Source organism: Homo sapiens, chromosome 7, assembly GCF_000001405.40.
Source record: "Homo sapiens chromosome 7, GRCh38.p14 Primary Assembly".
NCBI classification, from domain to species: Eukaryota; Metazoa; Chordata; class Mammalia; order Primates; family Hominidae; genus Homo; species Homo sapiens.
This window is the reverse complement of record NC_000007.14, coordinates 30960536-30979643: the sequence shown is the minus strand read 5'-3', so window position 1 is coordinate 30979643 and position 19108 is coordinate 30960536. Positions and strand designations below refer to the sequence as shown.

At 51.3% G+C, this 19108-nt stretch overlaps 1 protein-coding gene across 1 annotated transcript, besides 2 other annotated features; it reads right to left on the bottom strand.

The window, feature by feature from the left end:
• GHRHR (growth hormone releasing hormone receptor) lies at positions 116–15691 on the bottom strand. The gene is made up of 13 exons (NM_000823.4): positions 15519–15691; positions 10708–10810; positions 10474–10581; positions 9680–9777; positions 8428–8525; positions 7549–7681; positions 5506–5659; positions 5155–5215; positions 4604–4673; positions 3776–3867; positions 3086–3215; positions 2322–2363; positions 116–525 (listed from the first exon to the last, which is right to left on the bottom strand). The coding sequence occupies exons 1-13, from the start codon at positions 15573–15575 to the stop codon at positions 400–402; spliced, it is 1272 nt and encodes a 423-aa protein (NP_000814.2). The 5' UTR covers positions 15576–15691; the 3' UTR covers positions 116–399.
• Positions 4425–4784: an enhancer, noted in NCBI's record as "active region_25821". NCBI's record gives its function as "activates an Ori minimal core promoter by ATAC-STARR-seq in GM12878 lymphoblastoid cells {active_cell/tissue: GM12878}" and the evidence as "EXISTENCE:reporter gene assay evidence [ECO:0000049][PMID:35858748]".
• Positions 4595–4773: a silencer, noted in NCBI's record as "fragment chr7:31014486-31014664 (GRCh37/hg19 assembly coordinates)". NCBI's record gives its function as "represses an EF-1alpha promoter that drives an FKBP-Casp9 reporter gene in an ReSE screen in K562 erythroleukemia cells {active_cell/tissue: K562}" and the evidence as "EXISTENCE:reporter gene assay evidence [ECO:0000049][PMID:32094911]".

Here is a 19108-nt window from a genome sequence, read left to right as displayed (position 1 = left end):
CATAATGTAGCATGAACTGAGGAATGATGAACGCAACTCAGCACCAGACGTCTAAATAAAGAACGCAGGTGCGCTCCCCTTTAAAGGCCCATTTACTCACTCAAACATGCGTCTATTCATTTACAGGTTTATTGGCTCCTCTGAGCCTTGGGCTAGAGCCCCAGGCCCCAGTAAGAGGAATGGATGAGAGCAGACACAGAGGGACCACAGAAGTCAGAGGTAGACATACAGGGACCTCAAAAGAGAGTCAGATGCAGAGACAGGGAGGAAGGGCTGCACCTGCCCCGGGCTGGGTAACAGCTGGGGTGGGGATGTGGCCCCCTTGCTCCTCCAGAGCATGGCAGACCCGTGGTAGCTGCCCAAATTCAAGTGTGGACTCCAGTGGCGTGATGAGGCAGCCTAGCACATAGATGTCAGCACCTTTGCCGCCGAGCGGGAAGGCGTGGTCCACTTAGCACGGGTCCTCCAGGCTGGCAGAAGCTCAGGGTCATGGCCATGCCACTTCCGTGAGATCTCAGTCCTCACCTCCAGGGACAAGGAAGAGGACGTTAGGAAGGTCCCCCTGTGGCTTTGCTACTCAACCCCAATGAGACTAAGGTGCAGGGAGAGGCCGTGTAAGAGAAACAGAGACATGGGGCAGGAAAAGTCATGCTTGGCAACAGGTACTGCTAAGTACTACCTCTGGAGGATACTACTTTTTCCTTCCTGTGAGTATTTCTCACCATTCTTTTAGCTCCTTTCTCTGCCTTTTAGCCCTGCCTTTGTCTGAGCCCAGTTAAAGACATTTATAGGTGCTTTCTTGAGTTCCTGGCCAAATAACCACCCTGTTCTCTCTTAATCACTTAGACCACTCCTTGCTCTGGGATTCAATTTTGTGAGCTCAACTCTGGCCACTGGAAATCTGTCCAGAGGACATGACCTGAAGGGAGAGAGGATTCAGAACTCTGTCTGAGGGGTTGCAGTTGAGGAAACTGAAAGTAAGTAAAAGAAAAGTAGCCTGGGGCAAGATGGAACGGTGGGATTGGGGGGTGGGGGTGCTGTCTGTATCTTCACATCTCCAAGGGGCTTTCAGGGGCATAGGGTGCTGAGAGAATGTGCCTCATGCAGTAGAGCCGAACTGGGGTTGTGGTGAAAGATAAAAGGAATCAGATATCTGTTCAACATAAAGATGATCTTTCCACAGCTGCCTGACAACAGAAAGAGCTATTGGGATGTAGTAAGCTCACTGTCACCAGAGGTATGTAACCACCTGGTCTCCGGCACTGCTTCCCAAGACAGCTCCCTTCACACCTCTCTGTGGAAACACTTTTTCCACACCCCACCAGCCTCAGCCTGGGATGCTTCTTGCCCCTCCCAGGACCCCCAGGGCCCATGGTCTGCTACAGCCAGACACCAGATAAGGCTGCATGGGACTTAGAGAGGTCAGGTGAGGAATAAAGAGAGGGAGAGTGGAAGGAGCAGTAAGGGACAGAGGTGGCAGATGAGATGGGAGCAAAACTCCACAGCGAAGGGGACAGGGCATCTGCAGCCAACTCTCACAGAATGCAGAGCCCATGGCAAATCCATGGCCAGCAGAGGGAGCGCATGGCCCTGCAGGTGCACAAAGGTGGAACTTGGGAGTCCGGGGCATTGAGATCAATTCTCCCCCGCCTCTCTCCCCAGAGCAGGACTGTCCTAAGGGGGAAATTCAGTGTCTCCTGGGTGGAATTCACTTTGCGTCAGTCTCTGTCGTGTCCCCACGTTTCCACATGTGCAGCAGCACCATCTGTTCTGTCTTTTCATGTCTATCTCCCCTTCTGTCCACTCTCTTTGTGTGTCTGTTTTCTTTAGGTGCTCTCTCTGTTTCTTGGGCTCCAGATCTTCCTCTTTGTCTCTGCATCTGATTATTTTCCTAGTTCCCTGTATGTTTACCTCTGACTTTCTTGGCTCCTCTATCTGTTCTCTCTGATTGTCTCTCCCTCAGCTGGCGTACCCCCTCCCCAACTCTCCTTTTTGTTCAATTTTAGGAACACAGAATTGGGGGATTCCTTCTGACTCCCTACCCTAATCCCCCTCCTTATCCCTGAAAGGCCTCCTCCACCTCCTGAAGAGTAGCTAGTAGAACTTGGCCCAGCTCAGAGGAAGGATGGATAAGAGATGTTTACAGGAAACATTCCGGTTCAGCTTGATCCAGAAGCTCAGGACAGACTACCACAAAAGCTCACAAGAGTGAAGGTGTGGCCTGAGCTGGGGTTTACAGGGCCTGAGTGGGAGAGAGGAGGAGGGGCCTTAGGTCTGGTGGGAGGGGGACTCCATGAGGGATAGCCTCAAAAATCACACACCTCTTGGTTGAGGAAGCAGTAGAGGATGGCAACAATGAAGCCCTGTGGGTCCAAAGAAGAAAGACCCCATCAGAACCCTTTGGCCTGGCCTGAAGGTGTCCACCGTCTTTCTGCTACCTTTTCCCTACTCATCCCCAGGCTATGGCTTGGGCCAGGTTTGATTGAAAGGGGAATTTAAATGCATTCATTACTTACTATGTGCCAGGCATATTGTCATAGAATTGTCATAGCAAGCCTGCCAGGGCTGTACTGTTGGCCCCATTTCTCTGACTTTATTTCTGCATCCCTTGTGAATGAGCACAACACTTGGCACATAATAGGGGATCAGTAAGAGTTGAATAGATTGGATGGATGGGTGGATGGATGGATAGATGGATGGATAGATGAGTGGGTGGGTGGATGGATGTATAGATGGGTGGGTGGGTGGATGAATGGGTGGGTGGATGGGTGGGTGGGTAGGTGGTTAGGTGAGTGGATGGATGGATGGATGGATGGGTTGGTGGGTGGGTAGATGGATGTATGGATGGATGGATGGATGCACGGATGGATGGATGGATGCATGGATGGATGGATGGATGGAAGAATGCATGGGTAGTTGAATACGTAGATGGGTGGCTGGAAGATGGACAGACAGACAGATATTTGAATAGATGGATGAAAAACATAGCCCTCACCCTGTCATGAACTCAGCCAAGGCCCGTGGGCAACAGCACCTCCCTCCAGCACCCTCAATGGAAAGAAAGAGTGCCTGTGGGGGCCCTCACCTGGAAGGAACCCAGTCCCAGCTCCAGGGGGAGGCGGATGCCCAGGCCAGCATTGTCTGGCAGGAAGTTGAAGATGATGTAGTGAATTCCAAAGAGTGGGATCAGGAAAAGTGTCGACTTGGAGAGACGCCTGCAGGAAAGACAAATCCTAGGCTCCCAAGACTGGGATTAGAAACTGTCGTGTGCACTTCATCTCCTCTCACTTCCTACCACCTCCCTATATCCACTCTGTGGAACAGCCACCTTGGGAAACGCCACCTCCCCACAATCACTCTGGGCTTTTTTATTTCTGGGCGCTGGATCCTGCTGATTCCCCTACCAACTGTTATTGCCCCAGTTTATCCCAAAGTCTATGCATCTTTCAAAGTGTGGATCAAAACCACTTCCTCCAGGAAGTCTTCCTTGACCACACCACCCTTCAACTAGAAAGGATCCCTCTCCCCAGGCTCCCATAGAAATTGATCCCAGCACTCATCGTTCTATTTGGCATGGGAGCTGGCTGTTTGGAGTCCTCATCCTTCCAATATTGTGATCCCCTAGAAGGAAGGGGCCAGGTCTATTCTGTCTCTGGGAACATAGGGAAGAAAGAGTATGGGGCTGAGGTCATGAGTGCTTATTGGATGAGACAGACACATTGAATCCCCCTCCAGTTACCCTTTCCCAGTATCCCCAGACACAAACACACAGTACCAATACTGAGACTGGGTATGGAGGCTGCCCTGAGCTGGCTCCAGTTTCCTCACCAGGATGCGGATAATATTGAGAAAAAGCCCAAAGTTCACCTGGAAATAGAGGCATAGGAAGGTGGAAGACAAGGGTCAGGGGGTAGCCTTGGGTGGCTGGGGTGAGCCCCAGCCCATTTGGGGACTAGAAAATTTAAATCCTTGAGACGTGAGAATGTGCAGGTGAATGAATGCACAGATCATTGCTCCAGAACTGGTAGCCTGGAGATGGGGGGGCGGGGGTCCCACATTTGAGCATTGGACAGAGAAGGACCAAGTCCTGGGATCAAGGGGGGCGATCAGGCCTTGCCACCTGCCTCCAGCCACCTCCCAGGCTCTTCTCTAGCACAAAGCAGATGTCCCTCACTTTGCACAGTTGCTAAGTTGCAAAACATTTGTACATTTACCAAAGCCATGCAAAGCAGTCTTCACTGCCTCTGTGTTGTGTGTGAGAGCAGAGGGAGGAGAGGGGTTTAGCTGCAGACTCCATTTACTGCCCCCACCCGGCACCCCTAGTCTCTCACTGTGGTGGTAAATGATCTGCAACCAGCACATTAGGCTCATCAAAATTGAGCTGGAACAGCCTGCATGCTGATGGAGACCACCACCCCTCTAGTTTTACCAATGGGATACTGAGGCCCAGAGAGGGCCTCACAGAGAATCAGTGGCAGAGCAAGGCTGGAGCCCAGTTTTCAAGACACCCAGCCTGGAGTTGCATTTCCTGCTGTGCACAGCCCGTCAGTAGTTCCAGGGAAGTTGACTGAATAAAGCAAAGGGCACTGGCCCAGGGACTGACCCCGACCGAGAGGACAATGGGCCCTTTGATGATCCACCAGTAGGGGGAGGTGTCGTCCAGGTCCCAGCACCTGGGGAGAGAGGAAAGAAGGCCGTTGTTGGAAAGTCCCCTTCACTGTGGTGACGCAGGCACCTCCCTCTCAGGCATTCATGCCTTCTGGTCTCACCCACCTCCCCTCCAGCCTTTTCTCCTGTCTCAGCCAGTTAAGGTCTCACCCAAAGGGGCACCCCAATCCAGGCTGGGCTCACCCTTTCTATCCACCTAGATGGACAAACGTTTCTGAACTCTGTTCAATGCCTCCTTGCTGGCCCCCTGGCAGCTCCCTCACCCCACCTTCCCCCAGCCCCACAGCCCTGGGAATCTGAGCTCCACTCTCCTGCCTGGCTCATGCCCCTTCTGTGCTACTCACAGACTGTTCTCCCACCCCCCATCCTAGCCGGGCAGTCCCTTCTCCTCCTCTTCCCAGCCTGGAGAACAGCCCATGGCCTGACTGTCCACTCCACACCCCATGTAGGACCAGCGGGTATGACAAGGTGGCCGCTCCGACTCACGCGATGTCCTCGAAGGCCAGTTTGCAGCTCACCCACGTGCCAGTGAAGAGCACGGGCAGCCCTACAGGAGTACAGGGAAGACACAAGCGAGGGAGTCTGCATCCTTGACTCTGAGATCTGGCGCCACCTCCCACCACCACCATCAGCCACGTAGGGCACTGCAAAGGCAGGGCCAGGCAGGACCCCAGAGCCAGGGCCCTGGTCCCACCCTCCAACACTTGCTGCCGGACTGTGGCCTGTCCCTCTCCTTCTCTGGGCCTCAGAGTGAGGTGGAGGGGCCTTTATGTAAACTCCCTGGGCCTTTCCAGCCCTTTACCTCCCCATGGTGCCCAACCCGCCCTCAGTGCTCACCCCAGCCAGCGAGAACCAGCCACCAGAAGGCTCTCCTTGAGCTGGGGGAGGTGGAGGCCAGGAGGCAGTTCAGGTAGACGGCTTCTGCCAACAGCCAGCTGAAGTTGGTCATGGTGGCGAAATGGGAGGCGGCCACAGAGACCTTGCATAGAACCTGGGGGCCAGGACCTGGGTGCTTCAGAGCTGGGACACCCACTGGAGCCCCATCCCAGTCTCCTCTACCCTACTCAGATACAGAACCTCCAGGCCCCTCCATGTTAGGCTGGGACCTGCAGCTCCTTGGGCCACCCAAGAGGGGATGTGGTGATATACAGTGAGGGTTAAGAGCACAGATTTGGTATCTAGACAGCCTGGCTTCTAATTTACTATCTATTTCCTGTGCAAATCTCCTCACACCTTAGCTTTTCATCTGTAAAAGGAAAAACCTCCAATACCTAGATCAAGTCCTCATCATAAGGATTAAATGGAAACTGCCTAAGACTTGCTTCTATTTTCACTTACCCCCATCCTTCCTGAGCTGAAGTCAATCCCTAGAGCTGTGACTTATTCAGCCACAGCTCTGTCTTGCAAAAAACACACACAGGCACCCGTGCATTCACTCACTCACTGCATGACTTGATCACCTGCCGGCAGGGGAGCAGGACCACCTCTGAGTTCAGTTGGCCCAGGTTTGATCCCAGCCCCACCCGTGTGCCACTGGGTGACCTTGCCAACTGTCTCTCCTCTACAAAATGGGATTAAAGTGATGCTTTCTTCTTCAAGCTGTTTTAAAAATTCAAGAGATAATGCCAGCTGACTCTTGAACAACAAAGGTGTGAACTGCTGAAGTCCATTTACACATAGATTTTCTTCCATCTCTGTCACCCCTAAGACAGCAAGATCAACTTCTCTTCCTCCTCCCCCTCAGGCTACTCAACATAAAGACGATGAGGATGAAGACCTTCATGATGATCCACTTCCATTTAAAAACAGCCAATTTTTATTTTCTCTATGATTTTCTTAAAATTTTTTCTCTAGCTTACTTTATTGTAAGAATACAGTATATAACACGTGTAACAGACAAATATGTGTTAATCGGTCATTTATGTTATTGGTAAGGCTTCAGGTCAACAGTAGGCAATCAATAGTTAAGTTTGGGGGACACAAAAGTTATACTTGAATTCTCAGCTGAAAGGGGGGTCAACACCACTAAACCCACATTGTTCAAGGGACAACTACATATGTAAAGCACTTAGTGCAATGCCTGGCACAAAATAAGTGCTCAGTATGAAGTATGATTAATTCTTTCATCAGTTAATTGAGGTCATGTGTTAGTTTGCTCCCTGATTTCGCTGTTCATTTCCAGCACACTTGCAGAGGATCTAGCAGGTGCTGGGTCTCCACATTCTGCCCAACTTCCCTTTAATTTCAATTGCCTCTTATTGTCTCCACCCCATCTCTCCCATGGTGCCTTCCCAGTTTCTTGGACATGGCCCAGGTCCTCCTGTCTTTGAGAGTTTGTTCACCCTGGTCTCTCCTCTTGAAATGTTCTCCTTCCCCATCTCCCTATTGTTGCTGCCAATACAGCTCCAGGGTCCTCTCCTCCCTGAAGCCCCCTCTCGTTCTCTCCTAGCTCTCAGCTTCCTCCACTTGGGAGTCCCCTAATCTGTGTGCATTCTGTCCCATGGGCTCTTCCTGAAGGAGGGACCCAGCTCCTCCCAGCCCCTTGCGTACACACCCCCAGCACAGACCTATGAGTGCTCAGGGAGGGGTGAAAGGAAAGGAAAAGGCTGTGCATAGTGAAACGTGGTCTAGGTTGGACTACAGAACGCGGAGTAGAGCATGCAATATGGGAAATGACATGGATCGACACCACAGTCCAGGAAAGGCGTGAGGACTTAGGGGGTGACATGGGAAAGGAGCATTTTCCTGTTCTGTAATTGGCCATGCGGGAGCCCCAGGGTCAGCCCACAGGGCAGGGAAGCCTGACGCAGGCACATCTGGGTCTGTAATCCTACCTCCTCTCTCCCCCACCTGCCCAGCCCCTTCACCCATGGCCATTACAGTGGAGAAGCTGCAGTGGTCAGTGTCGTCGCTGTGGAAAAGGGCAGCATCCTTCAGGAACACAGCTCCCGCCTTGAGGATAAAAGTGGTGAACAGCTGGGTGTGGACGTAGTTCCGGGGGCAGTGGAGCCTCCTGGGGGTAATGGGAGAAATGAGGAACAAGAAGCAAGCAGGGAGAGGGGATTCTGGTGTGCTGCAACTGGGCTGAACAGGGCAGGAGGTGAATCGAATCAAACTGGATGCAATCAAACTGAATTGAATTGAGCTGAACTTGAGGCTTCAGTTTAACCCTTGCAGGACAGCTGAGCAACCATTCCTGTGCTCAGGGTAAGTGTGGAAAGAGAGGAATATCTGGTCCCTGCCTCGAGGGTGCTCACAGTCTCAGGGAACAGAGGCAGAAACGGCAGGTACTGCCCATGGGAGCCCCCTGGATGATCAGAGACACTCATCCCCATGAGACCAAGAACAGCACAGGCCAGATGCAGTGCTCAGACTTCGAAGGCTGGAGGAGGGGGTGGGGTCTTAAAGGGGACAGTGGTCAGAGAGTTATAACAGTCAAGAGGGGCTCTGGGCAGGAGGCAGAGGACTGTCAGATGCAGATAGGAGCTGGGCTTTCTCAGTTATAAATACACTGAGAACAATGAGGAATTCCAAGCAAATAGAATGAGCACCACGTGAGCAAAGGGGCAGAGGTAGGAATGAGTTCTGGTGTTTGAAGAGATGGGTCTACATGGTGGGGAAAAGGGAAGGGAAAGTTAGACATGGGTATGGCGCCTAGATCTGGGAAGTTCATGGCTATGTAGGCAAGGAAGCAGACTTGACCCTCTGGGAAATAAGGAGCCAAGGAAGGTTCTTGAGCTGGTGATGAGGATGACAAACCTGAGAGCAACCAGGATGGTGATGGCCACGAAGAGGGCTACAATAGAGATGCTATGGCCCACGGTGTAGATAATCTTCACTGTGGAGAAGTAAGATTCCTGGGAAGGGCAGAGACAGAAGAAAGTCTCAGCTTCTGGGCCTTTGGAGGAAAGAGAGGCTTGACAATCAAGCAGGTGAAGCCTTTGCCATTCCACCCCAACACTCCCCATCTGGAGGCAGAGGTGTCCGCGAGTACCATGGAAAGCTCCCCCTGTGCACTGGAGCTTTAGTTTACAGCCTGCCTTCCACCTGACCTGCGGGTGAGGGAGGGGTAGTGGCGAGGAGTGGAGATGCTTAACATTCATGATGCTCTGAGGGTGAGGAGAGGCAGCCGCAGAAACTACATGTCCCTGGGGAATGACAAAAGCCCAAGAGGAAATCAGCTTGTTTATTGACATCCAGCTTGCTCACCAGCTTGGGAACACAATGTATCCAAATAAAGGAGATAGCCAGGGACACCTGGGGACAGCCACAGGCAGGCAGGCAAAAGGTTTCCGTGGCCAAGTGTTTGGATCAGTCAGAGTCCAGCCTGGCCCTGAAGATAGAGGGTGCAGGCAAGGGAAGGGAGCAGGGGCCTGGGCACTGGCCCCAATCCCAGCTCTCCTGTGGGGTCCAGGCAATCACTTCCTGTCCCTGACTCAGTCTTTCCATCTGAAAAATGGTTACAGTCATGCTTTACCTCTCAGAGATCAAGGGGACAGAGAAATGGGATGATGGGTTTGGGAGTGCCTGGCAAAGGCCCTGCTGGATACACAAGTGTGCGGTGTGCTGGCTGGTGTTAGGAGCTCTCTGCAATCACCCTGGGCTTGAGTTTCCCTCACTTGCCCACATCGCAACCATGCACACTGCTCCACAGACTGAGGGCCAGAGAAGGAAAGGAGCTTCCCAGGGCTGCTAGGAGCCTTGTTTCCTCTGGAACCACTTTAAGCTCCCTGCCCTGGAGGCCTGGACACAGAACCAAGACAGCAGCCGGCAGATCTCCCACCTGCCCTCTGCCCCGCTTCTCCCTCCAAGTAACTTGGCCCGTGGGTCACCCTTCAGTAACTTAGCAAAAGACCCCATCTCCTCCAGACACTTCACTGCTCTCTGCTGGAAAACTGCTGTAAGTAGTATTCCAATCTGCAGGCTAGAGAATGGCGGCCCCTACAGTTGTGCACCCACCCATACAAATGTCCATGGCAGTCCTTCCTCCAAGATGCCAGAAGACTCTTACCTCCTCAGCCAGCAGCTCCAGAGGCACAGGGCAGGCCACAGGGTAAGGTGGAAAGGGCTCAGACCAGCCAGTGATAGTACAATCCCGTTTCACAGCCCCTGGGAGGCAAGCAAGACTCTCTAGCCACAACTCCTTCCCTCTCCCCAGGAGGGGGCTGGGGGTGCCAGGGACCATCAAGTGACCCTGGCAGGGTTTGCATGGACAGCTCCTCTGAGCAACAGAGAGGGTGGCTCCAGAGGCCTGGGGCCCAGGTCTAGCCTGCCCAGGGACACACTATGGGGCCTTCCTTCTCTGGCTTCAAAGGTGCCATCTCTTCACAAAGAGGATTATTCCCCTGAGGGGTGAGGAGTGGTGAGCTGGGCTGCCAGCATCCTAAGGGCAGTAGGGAGAAAAGAGGCCCTCACTGTCCCAGCACCTAGGCCAGGGAAGTGAAGCAGAGCAGCAGAGTGCCCCACCCTCTCCATCCTGGGCAGTTGGTGGTGTCTTGGCAGTCAGGCAGGCCTGCCCTCCTCCACCCTTGCAGCCAGGCTTCTGCTAACACCTGGAGGGCATCCAGGTCCAGCACTTACAGGTTCTGCACTCTAATACTTTCCTGCACAGTTAATGCTCTTGTTCTCCCCAGTTCACAGCTCAGGAAGCAGAGATCAGGATAGACTGACTGGCCCGAGGTCACCCCAGAAGAGGGGAAGTTGGTATACAAACCCAGGTTAGCCTGCCCCCAAATCCAGTGATGATTCTGCCACTTCCAGATGAAAGCACCTCCCTTTCCCACCGCCACACCCAGCACCCCTCACCTGACTCTGAGCTGAAGTGAGAGAAGAAATCCGGGCAGGGGAGGGTGACCCACTCGCCAGAGCCTGCCGTTGGCCAGCACAGCAGCCCATCCCAGGTCGCAGGGCAGCCTGGATAGAGAGCCAGGAGCAGCAGAGACTCAGCCCAGGTGCAGGGCTGTCCCAATAATCCGAGGGGTGAGGCTGGAGGATATAAAGGAATCAGAGAAGCCACCACCTGCCTCCTAGGCCCCATACCCAGGGTGGTGTTGGGCATCTCCTCTGCTGCTTGTAGACAGGCACTCTCATCCTCTCTCAGCTGGGTGATGAAGTCACATTCTGGGTGCATGTGGCCCAATACCTGCTGGAAACAGTGAACAGGATGAGCCAAGCCATTTGGGTGTCTTTCTGGGCTCTGTGGTCCACATGACCTGAGAACAGGGACAAGGCCTGATTCATATCTGTGCCCTAATCCTAGGCAAAGACCTGCTCACAGTAGTTTCAGGTGTGTTTGGTAGATGTTCAGATGGAAGGAAGGAAGGAAGGAAGGAAGGGAGGGAGGGAGGGAGGGAGGGAGGGAGGGAGGGAGAGAGGGAGGAACAGAAGGTCTAATCCTCTCTTGTGCAGTTAATGCTCTTGTTCTTTCCATTTCACAGCTCAGGAAGCAGAGGTTAGGGTTGACCGACTTGCCCAAAGTCACCCCGGAAAAGAGGAAGTTGGTATACAAACCTAGGTCTGCCTAGGTTTGGATGGATGTTTCTCCATTCTGTCTCATGTAAGTAAGTTCTGAGACACATTAGACAATATGCTTCTGAAGATCTCACAGGGATGGCCAACTCCATTCTCATCAGGGCCTTTCCTCCTTCCCTGTGTCATTCTCCTTGCTCTCCACTCCTGCTCCCTGGAAGCAGTTCTGCATAATAATGGTAGACAGAATAATGGCCCCCAAAGATGTCCACATCCTAATCTGTGGAACCTGTGAATATGTTACCTTAAACGGCAAAAGGACTTTGCAGATGTGATTGAGTTCAGGATCTTGAGATGCAAAGCTCATCCTTGATTATCTGAGTAGGCCTGATGTAATCGCAAGGCTCCTTATAGGATGGGCAGTAGGCAAGAGAGTCAGAATCAGAGGAGGTGACATGAGGATGTGTGCCGTGGGAACTGAGATTTAAAGATGCCACACTGCTGGTCTGAAGATGGAGAAAGGGCATGAACCCAAGGAAAAGGCAAGGAAATGGATTATTCTCTACAGTCTCCAGGAGGAATGCAGCTCTGCCAATACTTTGGATTTACCCCACTGGAAACCATTTTAAATTTCTGACCTTTGTCTCAGTCTCTGCTTTTAGGGGTGCACACAGGCAGGAACACATGAGCAAATGGGTAGCTTAGTAAGTGAGAGAGAAGATGGATGAATGAATGAGCACATGGATGAGTGAGCACATGAATGAGGTGAAGGCTGCATAAAAAAAGGAAGGAGGGAAGGAAGGCAGGAAGGCAGGAAGGCAGAAAAGAAGGAAGGAAGGCTAGTGGAATGGATGAGTATACAGACAGACAGACAAATATATGGCTGGGGAGGTGGATGGATGGATAGACAGATGACTGGCTGCATGGATGGGTGCATGGTGGATGAGTGAGAGAGCTGTGTAAGGATGGATGTGTGGCTTCATGGATGTGTAGATGAAAGGATCATAACCTTGATGGCTGAGCAACCTTGAAAGATTATAGTTTTAGGAGCCTCCCAGATCTTGTGCTACACAGTGGCCATGAGAAATGATCTCTGGAAGCTGGAAACAAGTTGGGGTTTTTTTGGGAATCTTCTAGCAGTACTTCTGAAAGTGTGCCTCAAGAACCAGCTAGAGATCCATTGGGATGGAAGCAGGAATATGTAGAGATCTAGGGTGGATCCAGCACTTTGTATTTTAACAAGTTCTCCAGGAAACTGGAAGTGAACAGCAGGAATTTCTAGCACTTCTCCCTCCCACCGCCCCAAACCGAAGGAAAACCAAAACTGATCGCCCAGCAGGCCAGAGCCCAAACAGATACATACAAGGGAAGCCAAGTTTACAAAACATACTTTCTGCACTGTGAACTGGGTATACAGCATACACATTTTTGTATAAAACACACATCCAAGTCAACCAGTGTAGATGTCTGTTCCCCCAGGCTTTCACAGGAGAGGAGGGGCTGGGGAAGGGAGAAGGGCTGGATCCTAATAGACCCTGCGCAAACTGTGATCAGAAGCAGGACAGGGGCCGGGCGCAGTGGCTCATGCCTGTAATCCCAGCACTTTGGGAGGCCAAGGTAGGCGGATCACCTGACGTCAGGAGTTAAACACCAGCCTGACCAATGTGGCAAAACACTATCTCTACAAAAATACAAAAATTAGCTGGGTGTGATGACACGCTCCTGTAATCCCAGCTACTCAGGAGGCTGAGGCAGGAGAATCACTTGAACCCAGGAGGCGGAGGTTACAGTGAGCTGAGATTGTGCCACTGTACTCCAGCCTGGGCGATAAAGTGAGACTCCATCTCAGAAAAACAAAAAAAAAACAAAAAGAAGCAAGACAGGTACCATGGGAGGGAATGTCCCTCTCACAGGGATTGGGGAGGTGGCATTTGAGCTGGACCTGGGGACAAGGGAGCATTTTTTAGAGCCAGACACACACAGTGGGGAGAAGAGCATCTGGAACAGAAAGCACAGCATGTGCAAGGACAAGGGAAGTGGGAAAAGGTGTATTTGGGAAGTATCAGCTCAGGACTAATGTTTCTCTCCCCATGGCCCCCACCCCCACCCCACACACACACACCCTCAATGTCTAGCAGGATCCATGTCAGCAAATGTTTAATTAACAGCTAGTGTTCTTTGGGAGAAATGCAGGCACAGCAAATAGTGTAGCAGATGTAAGACCAGGGCTGGGGTCAGAGAGTAGAGACTTTGACCACCAGAGTGGGGACAATAGATGGTGGGTGACCACGTGGAGAGACCCGAGAGCTCTGCCGCAGATTTGTGGGATAGGAGAAAATCTGGAGAGCCAGCCCAGTAAGGAGGGTCACCCCCACCAGTGCTACCCTGGCAGGAGAAGTCACTCCTGTCCCGCCCTGCTGACCCCATGGGTCCATGGCTTGGACGCAGCTCTGCCATCTCCTGCCTGGCCCTGCAAGGCCCCAGGGTGCAGATGTCACCCACTACCCAGGCTCCAGGTCTTATTTTGGTGGGTGCCCCGGACTCAGCTCTTGGCTTCCTCCCGAGGACTCAGTAACCTCAGGTCCATCTCAGGGCAGAGCCCCGTTGCGTCTCCCCTACATCTCCCAACAGACTGAGCGCACAAAGCGGGGAAGGAAGAGCAGGAGGGCAGATGGGCCTGTATGGGACTTTCTCACACCATCAGCCTGATATTGACCCTGGGCTGTTGGAAGAGCTGTGGTCTCTGCCTATCCTTCTGCCTACTGCACAGTCTGGCAAGCCCCAACCCTGCCTGGGAAACTTTTCAGGGCCAATTTGGGGAAGCAACTGAGGGCAAAGGATGCCAGGAGAGCAGCCTCATGCCAAAAGGATGAACAGACAGTGCCCACACCTCTAAGAGAAGGAGGGAAATTCAGAGAAGCCCCACTAATGACTCAGGATGTGTGGGCATAGGGCCAGATGTAAGGAGAGATTCTAGGGAGGGAAGTGGTGGGAGTGGAAGGATAGATCGTTCTAAGATTTATCCAAATGCTCCTGCTGAATTAGGACTGGCGAAACACATCCTGGGGCTCCCAGTCACCCCCCCACACACATCGTGGACCCCACCCACCCCTGAGGGGAGGCTCCATCGCCCTGGACCCCCAGGCCTTGCATCTATGCCTGCTGCTCTTCCTGGTATCTGCAGGGGATGATGCCCACACTGGCAAACAGTGATTGAGTTCTAGCTTTGGTACTAGCACCATCTGCTGAATGGCCACCACCAGATCTTGGGTACCCCTGCTAAAAATAAAGCTTTTGCTGTAGAGTGCACACAGATGGCAGACAGGGGGGCAGTCGAAGTTTCCTGTGTTGCACCCCTATGCCCAGCCCTTGACAAATCAGATTCCACTCAATGCACAGTGACCCGGGCCAGCGGATATTTTCTCTTTTAACAAAAGAGATAAAAGCAAGACTCAGGAAGGCTGAGGAACTTGCAGTTCACACGGCTAGTTTCATGCGTCCAGGATTCAAGCTCAAAGCCTGTGCACTCAGGAGCAGGTGCAGCAAGGTGCTCGGGAGGGGCAGCACCCTCCAATAAGGCAGCGGAGGAAGAATGCTTCAGGCCCTCACCATCCCAGAACCTTGTGACTCCCAGCCTGGTCCCTGCTGTCACTTGCAGTAACCTCCTGGAAAGTTACTGGGAAACTGCAGCCCATTCAGGAAGGGCCCTCTCTCCTGATGCCCCGTGCTCCAGCGCTCTAGCCCATGGAGTACAATTTGGTTGCCAAAAGCCTCTCCAGCCCTCAGCATCGTGAGAAGATGATGGATCCCCTAAGTGCTGGAGCAGAAGCAGCTGGTCTCCACCAACTCCTTAGGTTCCATTCCTTCCCTGGCCACACCCTCTTCAAAGGAAACCACCAAACTGGAGAGTGGCTCAGGGAGTCATAGGGCTAAGGAAGGGTCCAGAAAGCTTACCACAGGAGCGTGTGGAAGCATCACAGGTGCACAGCTGAGAGAAAGAGCAAACTGCAGGGACTAAGAGGGGAGCCTGACTTTGCCTCACCAATTCTGAGGCACTGTCTTGTGGCAGACAGAGTCTCTGTGGCCCCCAGAGGCACAGCCAGGCCCTGGGGGAAGCAACAAGAAGGTGAGCTCAGCTCAGCCCCTGGAAGGACATGTTAATAGCACTACCCAGAGTCACTACAGATTGCTGGGCAGAGGGAGATGAGGGAGGGAGCCCCAGTGTCAGGGGCTCTCCAAGCCACAGCCTGCCACCTGCTCGTAGGGAGGGACTCTAGAGCAGGAGAAGGGCAGTAGGGTCTCCGCCAGGCTCCAGTTGGCCCTGTGGCTCCCAAATCTGGAGCCCAGTGGCAGAGGCCAGAGGGTCTCAGCTGGCTACTCACGGTCGGTAACGGGCTCAACACGCAGAAGACGTGGGCCCCCCACATCCGGCGGTCCATGGTGAGCCCAGCAGTGGCTCCCTCCACCAGCCTCAGTAAGCCTTGGCTATCTTCCTTCCCCTGCTGTCCCCTGACACAGCCGTTTCCACCGCACCCTCTGCTTCCCCTTCTCAGGTGGCTGTTTGCATAGGCAGGAGCTAGCCAAGGGGACACAGACCGCTGAATATTCACCAGGATTGCAGGACACCTGCCCAGCTCAGCATTGACCCTGAGGTGGGACTCTGTTTCCAGCAGGCAGGGGCTGAGCCCCCACCCTCATCGCCTTCTACTCTGGCTATAAGTCTGCTTGTGTGTCTGTCCTGATAGCAAGGGCCCAGAGAGGTGACAGCCACAGGTCACTTGGTCAATATTCTCTACCACTTTCTTCTCTAAGCCCAGGTCTCTGGTGGCCATCATTGGAGTGACCCCTCAGATTGATGGGATCTTAAAGAATAGGAAGGGGACCTGGGCCTGCCCTTGGGAAGCTCCCAGGTTATTTGATGTGTGCTCCTAGCCTCATCCACAGGGCTGGAGAGTGAGGTCAGAGCTGTGTGGAACTGGTGGGGAAGGGGAAGGGTATGGTATTAGTGGAGATGGAGGGTTGGAATGGTCTTAGGAAAGGAAGTATGATCTGTAAGCACTGGCATGGGCTGGCCAGGAATGTGTCATTTCAGCAAGACCTGGGTCCTTTACTGGGCAAGGACGCTGGCCTGGATGGTGAGCTGAAGCTGCAAGCATCAAGGCTCTGGATTTCACATGGGGGCTTATCAAAATCTCTCCAAAACTCTCACGGCAAAAGGGGAAAATGAGGTTGGTTGGAAGCCTTGTGAAGGATTCATGGGTCAAGCCATCTTGAATAGGGGGAGGACAACTCTCATCGGTAGCAGAAATGAGAAGACTTACACAGCAAACTATATTGAACATTCATTGCCTGGTCACTTTTATTATAGTTTTAGACTTTAAAATGCAGGGTCTCCATTGGCCAGGCTAAAGACAGTGTTCTAAATGCCCCTGGATCTTGCACAGCACTTTGAAATGTCAAAGATGTCACCTCTGAAAGACCTGAATATCCCAGTAGCCGACAGGTCCTGATGTTTGTGTGCACGTCTCCACTCACAGAAGCTGCTGGGCTGCGTGCTAGAACACCAGACATGTTTACAGCCCGATCACATCATGAATGTTGAAGGCTCCTCGCCCCCGCTACATCTGGATTTAGGGCTTATTTTGACATCAGCAGGGGTTTATTTTTCCATTTTTCTTCATTGTCAACAAAATACTGAAAAAAAAATATTTCGAAACAAAAACATGAACCACCCCAAGCTCCAAAACCCTCCTATCCTGTGCAAGTGTTTTCATGAGCTTAACTGTGAAATGGGTGCAAGCAGCATGCCACACAGAGCTCTGCACACTTTTACACTTTTAGGGGAGAGCAGAGCTCCTCTCTTGGCAGGCTGAGAGCTCACGGGTTGGAAAAGCAGAGTGCTGAAAAGGTATAACTTGAAGGGAAAGCTAGAACCTTCTGTTCCTCAGCTACAAAGAAGCAACAGCACCAGGAAAAAAAAGTCTTACGATTAATCACTGTTGATAATTAGCATCAATATCATTAGCATTAATGATGGCTAATTATTGAGGTTGATAGTGATAATTAATAATAGTTATTACTGTCTAAACGAGTGGTTCCTAACCTGGAGCAATTTTGCTTCCCTAGGGGACATTTGGCAATGTCTGGAGACATTTTTTGTTATCAAAATAAAAACTAGGAGTTAGGGTGAGGAGTGGGGTGGTGAGTTGCTCCTGGTATCGAATGAGTAGAGACCAGGGATGCTATTAAGCATCTACAATGCACAGGATGCCCCCACCCTTGATCATATGAAGAATTATCCAGTCTCAAAGATCAATAAGACCAAGGCTGAGAAACCCTGCTCTAACTGTACATGTTCCCCAAGGATCCCTGCAGGCCTGTTTCTTCATGGAGCTGTCTTCTCTAGCTAATTCTGTATACACTCAGGATTCAAATTCTGCCTCCATCACTTGCTAGCTGTCATACATTTGGCAAGTCATTTAGCCTTTCTGAACCTCTGTGTTAGTACATTTGTATTGCTATAAGGGAATACCCAAGGCTTGGTATTATATTTTTAAAAAGAGGTTTATTGCGGCTCACAGTTCTGCAGACTGCACAGGAAGCATGGCACTGGCATCTGCTTCTGGTGAGGGCCTCAAGAAGCTTCCATTCATGCTGGAAGGTGAAGGGGGAACCCCTGGTGTATCACATGGTGAGAGAGGGAGCAAGAGAGCAAGGGAGATGTCTGGCTGGCTCTTTAAAACTACTAACTCTTGCATGAACTAGCAGAGTGAGAACTCACTCATTACCATGGGGAGGGCACCAAGCCATTCATGAGGGACCCACCCCCATGACGCAAACACCTCCCACCAGGCCCCACCTCCAACAATGCAGGTCTATTTCAACATAAGATTTGGAGAGAACAAAACATTCAAACCATATGAGCCTCCGTTTTCCCATCTGAAAAGTGGGGATGATACTAACACCTTCCTTATAGGATTGGTGGGATAAGTGGACAAGGAAAGCCGTGTACTATAAAGAACCTCATACAGAGCCTAGATCCAGTGGGCAATCATTTATGACAGCATGTAACAAAGATGGACTAACAGCAAGTAAGATTGGAACAGCTGATTCTTTGTACAAAAAAATAAGATTGAATCTCTAGCTCACATTTACAAAATATAGATTCTAGGTTAAAAATCCTAATTATAAAACAACAAAATCATAAAAATGCTTCAAAAAATAGAAATTCATGTTTATGGCCTTAGAATAAAGGAGAGTGTCATATAAAATAAAAATCGTAAAGAAAAAAATCAAGTGTGACCACATTAACATTTTAAAATGTATGTTCAAGAGAGGATGCCATAGATGAAAACTAAAAGCATTTTTCTGCTACAAACTGAAAGAAATATTTGCAACCAATCCTGACAAACAAATCTGTAGTATCAAAAATGTATTTTAAAAATATCTAAAAATCAGCTGGTCGTGGTGGCTCACGCCAGTAATCCCAGCACTTTGGGAGGCCAAGGCGGGCGGATCACCAGGTCAGCCTGGCCAATATGGTGAACCCTTGTCTCTACTGAAAATACAAAAATTAGCCAGGCCTGGTGGTGCACAACTGTAGTTCCAGCTACTCAGGAGGCTGAGGCAGGAGAATCCCTTGAACCTGGGAGGTGGAGTCTGCAGTAAGCCAAGATCGTGCCACTGCACTCCAGCCTGGGCAACAGAGTGAGACTATGTCACAAAAAAAAAAAGAAAGAAGAGAAAAAAATCAGTAAGAAAGATAAAAATAACTCAGAAAAGTGAGCAAATGATACAAATAGACAATTCAGAAAAGAAGTGAAATATACAGGCCAATAAACAGATGAAGAAATGTTTAACATTCCTAATACTAAAGAATATGAAAATAAAAATAATAATAAGCTACCCATTTTCACCTAATACATTGCCTAAAACTTTAATGTCTGATAACACAGTGTCTGGAAGATAATGT

Excerpts from the sequence above, each read along its gene's own strand:
- GHRHR (NM_000823.4), bottom strand. The coding sequence starts at position 15,575 with ATGGACCGCCGGATGTGGGGGGCCCACGTCTTCTGCGTGTTGAGCCCG. Across the intron at positions 3,868-4,603 it reads CCATTGTCCTCTCGGTCGGG|GTGAACTTTGGGCTTTTTCT; the intron begins GTCAGTCCCTGG and ends CTCTATTTCCAG. Across the intron at positions 3,216-3,775 it reads CATACCCAGTCTCAGTATTG|GCGTCTCTCCAAGTCGACAC; the intron begins GTACTGTGTGTT and ends TCTTTCCTGCAG.